Source organism: Homo sapiens, chromosome 6 (assembly GCF_000001405.40).
Source record: "Homo sapiens chromosome 6, GRCh38.p14 Primary Assembly".
Lineage (NCBI taxonomy): Eukaryota > Metazoa > Chordata > Mammalia > Primates > Hominidae > Homo > Homo sapiens.
In genome coordinates this window covers 73,848,888-73,854,491 of record NC_000006.12, presented here as the reverse complement: position 1 = coordinate 73,854,491, position 5,604 = coordinate 73,848,888, and the positions used below count along the sequence as shown (strand labels likewise).

Sequence of the window (5,604 nt, the reverse complement as noted above, 5' to 3'; positions counted from 1 at the left end):
ACACACGACAGCTTGGATGATCTTAAGTGCATTTTGCTCAATGGAAAAAAAATCATCAAAGCTTACATACTGTATGATTTCATTTGTATAACATTCTCAAAATTACCATTATCAAGACAGAGAATAGATAAGTAGTTACTAGGGATTAAGGAAGGATAGGGAGGGGATGACCCTAAGCAGCATGAAGAAGTCCCTTTGTGATGAGTAAACAAATCTGTGTCTTAACTATAAATGGTAGTTACATAAATCTGTACCTGTGATGAAAATGTCCTAAAATTATACAAAAAAACATGTAAAAATAAATGCTTGTAAAAAGAACTTGAAGCCAAGTAAGGTCTGTAGTCCAGTTAACTGTTTCCTGCTAATCAATGTTCTGCCTTCAATAATGCACCATAGTTAGATAAGATGTCACTGTTGGGGGACACTGGATGACAGGCATACAGGACCTCTGTGTACTATTGTACAACTTTTTGTGAGTCTATAATTATTTCAAAATTAAAAATTTTTTAAAGTAAAATTCTATGGCCCACACCAATGTTCACAGTATGAATTCCTTTGGATTTTTCTGAATTCCTCAATAATGTTTAAATTCCTCTAAATTACAAAAGAAGAAAAATAGGAGTAGAGTGTTATATAAGAATAATTAGTTAATACGTCATTATTCTGTGCGTTGGCAGATTACTCACAGGTCCTGACTATCTACTGGTTCTCCTCACTGGGATGAAATGAGATGAAATAAGCTTCACTCAAATGAATCCTTGATAAACACAGACACACACACACACACATTTTCACTTTCTCAGTCTTTCTTCATCTCAATAAGTGCCTTTCTCCTATCCCCTAGTTACTAAGGCCAGACATTTTTTCTTTTTCTGGGCTCTTCATATTTAGAGGTAAGGCCAGACTTTTTGAATCTTCTCTTTTCCTCACTTCCTACATCCCATCTATTCCCAAGTCTTACTGATAATACCTCCAAAATACCTCAAGTCTGCACATAAAGAATATACAAAAGGAAATGAGAATTCAAAGGAAACAGAAAATGCATCTGACAAATGGGAGAGTGTGCGAACATAGAAGGCAAAGGAGGGGGCAGAGCAAGAGGGCTGAATAGAAGCCTCCACTGATTGTCCCCCCTGCAGGAAAGCCAAGTTTAATAACTATCTATACAAAAAAGAACATCTTATAAGAAGCAGAAATCAGGATACAGATACCAGCTCAACCACAGTGGAGTACAATGCCAAGAAGGCTCTTGGGGTCCTCAATTCTGGGCCTTGGCTTGTGGATGACAGTTTTGGACCTGTCCTGGTCCAGAGAGGAGTCCACTGCCCTGAAGGGTGAGTCCCAGGCCTGGCAGCATTCACCACAAGCTCACTGAAGAGCTCTTGGGCCTTAAGAGAACATTGGCCATAGCCTGCCAGTACTTTCCATAGGCCTGTGGTGGTGATGGCCATAGGAAGAGACTCCTATGCCTGTGGAAAGGGGAAGGAAAAATGGGAAGAACTTTGTCTCATGGTTTGAATGCCAGCTTAGCTGTAGTAAAATAGAACAAAAGGCAGATGTTTAAGGTTTTTGACTCCACTCCCTGGCTCCTGGATAGCATCTCTAGACCTGTCCAGGGGCTGGGGTAACTTGCTACCTTGAAGGGAAGAATACAAGCCTGGCTGGCTTCACCACCTGCTAACTGTAGAGTCCTGTGGTCTTAAACAAACATAGGTGGTAGCCAGGTAGTGGTTACAGTGGGCCTTGGGTGAGACCCAGTGCTGTACTGACTTCAGATATGACCCAGTACAGTCTCAGCGATGGCCACAGGAGTACATGGGTCACCCCTCACTCAACTCTAGGTGACTCAGAACAGAGAGAAAGACGTTTGGGAGAAAGTAAGTGACAAGAACAACAGTATCTGCCTGGCAACCCAGAGAATTCTTCCAGACCTTATCCAAGACCACTAAGTCTGCGAGAAGCACAATGTTACTGGGCTGGAGGTGCTCGTGCTCCCTAATGCAGATATGGCTCAGATCATAACACCCAAGTACCCTTGAATACCTGAGAAGCCATCCCAAAAAGGACAAGTACAAATAAGCCCAGACTGTGAAGACTACAAGAAATACCTAGCTCTTCAATACCTAGACACCAACAAACACTTGCAAGCATCAAGACCATTCAGGAAAACATGACCTTAGCAAATGAATTAAATAAGGTACCTGGGACCAATCCTGGAGAAACAAAGATATGTGGCCTTTCAGAGAGAACTCAAAATGGCTATTTTGAGGAAACTCAAAAAAATTCAAAATAATATTGAGAAAGAATTCAGAATTATATCAGATAAATTTAACAAAGAAATTGAAATAATTTAAAAGAATCAAACAAATTCTGGAGTTAAAAAATATAATTGACATATTGAATAATGCATCAGAGTCTCTTAGTAGCAGAAATGATCAAGCAGAAGAAATAATTAGTGAGCTTGAAGATAAACTTTTGAAAATACATCATTTGCTCTCCCTCTCCCTCTCCCTCTCCATCTCCCCACGGTCTCCCTCTCCCTCTCTTTCCACGGTCTCCCTCTGAGGCCAAGCTGAAGCTGGACTGTACTGCTGCCATCTCGGCTCACTGCAACCTCCCTGCCTGATTCTCCTGCCTCAGCCTGCCCAGTGCCTGCGATTGCAGGCGCGCGCCACCACGCCTGACTGGTTTTCGTATTTTTTTGGTGGAGACAGGGTTTTGCTGTGTTGGCCGGGCTGGTCTCCAGCTCCTAACCGCGAGTGATCCGCCAGCCTCGGCCTCCCGAGGTGCCGGGATTGCAGACAGAGTCTCGTTCACTCAGTGCTCAATGGTGCCCAGGCTGGAGTGCAGTGGCGTGATCTCGGCTCGCTACAACCTCCACCTCCCAGCCGCCTGCCTTGGCCTCCCAAAGTGCCGAGATTGCAGCCTCTCTTCCCTTCTGGGAAGTGAGGAGCGTCTCTGCCTGGCCGCCCATCATCTGGGATGTGAGGAGCCCCTGTGCCTGGCTGCCCAGTCTGGAAAGTGAGGAGCGTCTCTGCCCGGCCACCATCCCATCTAGGAAGTGAGGAGCGTCACTGCCCGGCCGCCCATCATCTGAGATGTGGGGGGCGCCTCTGCCCCGTCTGGGATGTGAGGAGCACCTCTGCCCGGCCACGACCCCATCTGGGAGGTGAGGAGCATCTCTGCCCGGCCGCCCCGTCTGAGAAGTGAGGAGTCCCTCCGCCCGGCAGCCGCCCCGTCTGAGAAGTGAGGAGCCCCTCCACCCGGCAGCCACCCCATCTGGGAAGTGAGAAGCGTCTCCGCCCGGCAGCCACCCCATCCGGGAGAGAGGTGGGGGGTCAGCCCCTGCCAGGCCAGCTGCCCCATCCGGGAGGGAGGTGGGGGTCAGCCCCCGCCCGGCCAGCCGCCCCGTCTGGGAGGGAGGTGGGGGGTCAGCCCCCGCCCGGCCAGCCGCCCCATCCGGGAGGTGAGGGGCGCCTCTGCCCGGCCGCCCCTACTGGGAAGTGAGGAGCCCCTCTGCCCAGCCACCACCCCATCTGGGAGGTGTACCCAACAGCTCATTGAGAACGGGCCATGATGACAATGGCGGTTTTGTGGAATAGAAAAGGGGGAAAGGTGGGGAAAAGATTGAGAAATCGGATGGTTGCTGTGTCTGTGTAGAAAGAAGTAGACATAGGAGACTTTTCATTTTGTTCTGTACTAAGAAAACTTCTTCTGCCTTGGGATCCTGTTAATCTATGACCTTACCCCCAACCCTGTGCTCTCTGAAACATGTGCTGTGTCCACTCAGGGTTAAATGGATTGAGGGCGGTGCAAGATGTGCTTTGTTAAACAGATGCTTGAAGGCAACATGCTCCTTAAGAGTCATCACCACTCCCTAATCTCAAGTACCCAGGGACACAAACACTGCGGAAGGCCGCAGGGTCCTCTGCCTAGGAAAACCAGAGACCTTTGTTCACTTGTTTATCTGCTGACCTTCCCTCCACTATTGTCCTATGACCCTGCCAAATCCCCCTCTGTGAGAAACACCCAAGAATGATCAATAAAAAAAAAAAAAGAAGGTACTTTGTAGTCTCCCCCACCCCTAAGAAGGTTCTTTGTAATTCTCCCCACCCTTGAGAATGTACTTTGTGAGATCCACCCCTGCCCACCAGATAACAACCCCTTTGACTGTAATTTTCCATTACCTTCCCAAATCCTATAAAACGGCTCCACCCCTATCTCCCTTCGCTGACTCGCTTTTCGGACTCAGCCCACCTGCACCCAGGTGAAATAAACAACCATGTTGCTCACAAAAAAAAAAAAAAAAGAAAAAAGAAAACACATCATTTAAGGAGATAAAAGAAAAAAAAGAATAAAAAAGAATAAAGCATGCCTTCAAGATCTAGAAAATGACCATAAAAGGGCAAATCTAAGAGTTATTGGCCTTAAAGAGGAGGCAGAGAAATATATAAGAGTGGAAAATGTATTTAAAGGGATAATAACAAAGAACCTTGCAAACCTAGAGAAAAATATAAATATCCAAGCACAAGAAGGTTATGGAACTCCAAGCATATTTAACTCAAAGAACACTGCCTCAAAACATATAATAGTCAAAATTCCAAAGGTTGAGGATAAAGAAAGGACCTTAAAAGCAGCAAGAGAAAAGAAACAAATAACATACAATGGAGCTCCAATACCCCTGGCAGAAGACTTTTCTGTGGAAACCTTACACATCAGGAGAGAGTGGCATAACATATTTAAAGTCTGGAAGGGAAAAAACTTTTATCCTAGAATGGTATATCCAGCAAAAATATCCTTGAAACCTGAAGGTGAAATAAAGACTTTCCCAGACAAAAGCTGAGGGATTTTATCAACACCTGTCCTACAAGATATGCTAAAGGGAGTACTTCAATCAGAAAGAAAAAAAAATTAATGAATGTAAGAAATTTTCTGAAGATAAAAAACTCACTGGTAATTCTAAGTACACACAAAAACACAAAATATTATAGCACTGTAATTGTGGTACATAAACTACTCTTAAGTAGAAAGACTAAAAGGTAAACCAATCAAAAATAATAACTACAACAACTTTTCAAGAAATAGACAGTACAATAAGCTATAAATAGAAACTATGAAAAGTTAAAAAGCAGGCGGACAAAGTTAAAGTGTTGAGTTTTTTTTCATTTTCCTATTGTTTGTTTGATCATGCAATCAGTGTTAACTTCTCATCAATTTAACATAATGTTTAAGATATTATTTGCAAGCCATAAACTGAAATCAAAATATATACAATGGGCACATAAAAAATAAAAAGCAAGAAATTAAAGCATACCACAAGAAAAAGTCAACTTCACTAAAAGGAATACAGGAAGGAAGGAAAGAAGAAAGAGAAGACCACAAAACAACCTGAGAGCAAATGACAAAATGGCAGGAGTAGGTCTTTACTTATCAATAATAATATTAAATGTAAATAGACTAAACTCTCCAATCAAAATAAAGAGTGGCTGAATGGATTTTAAAAACAAGACCCAGTAATCTCTGGCCTACAAGAAACACACTTTACCTATAAAGACATAAATATATTGAAAATGAAGGGTTGGAAAAAGATATTCCATGCCAATG

At 43.8% G+C, this 5,604-nt stretch overlaps 1 annotated feature.

The window, feature by feature from the left end:
* Window positions 2,693–3,276: an enhancer, noted in NCBI's record as "H3K27ac-H3K4me1 hESC enhancer chr6:74560911-74561502 (GRCh37/hg19 assembly coordinates)". NCBI's record gives its function as "activates a minimal SCP1, AML or CMV promoter by ChIP-STARR-seq in primed H9 embryonic stem cells {active_cell/tissue: H9 hESC(primed)}" and the evidence as "EXISTENCE:reporter gene assay evidence [ECO:0000049][PMID:30033119]".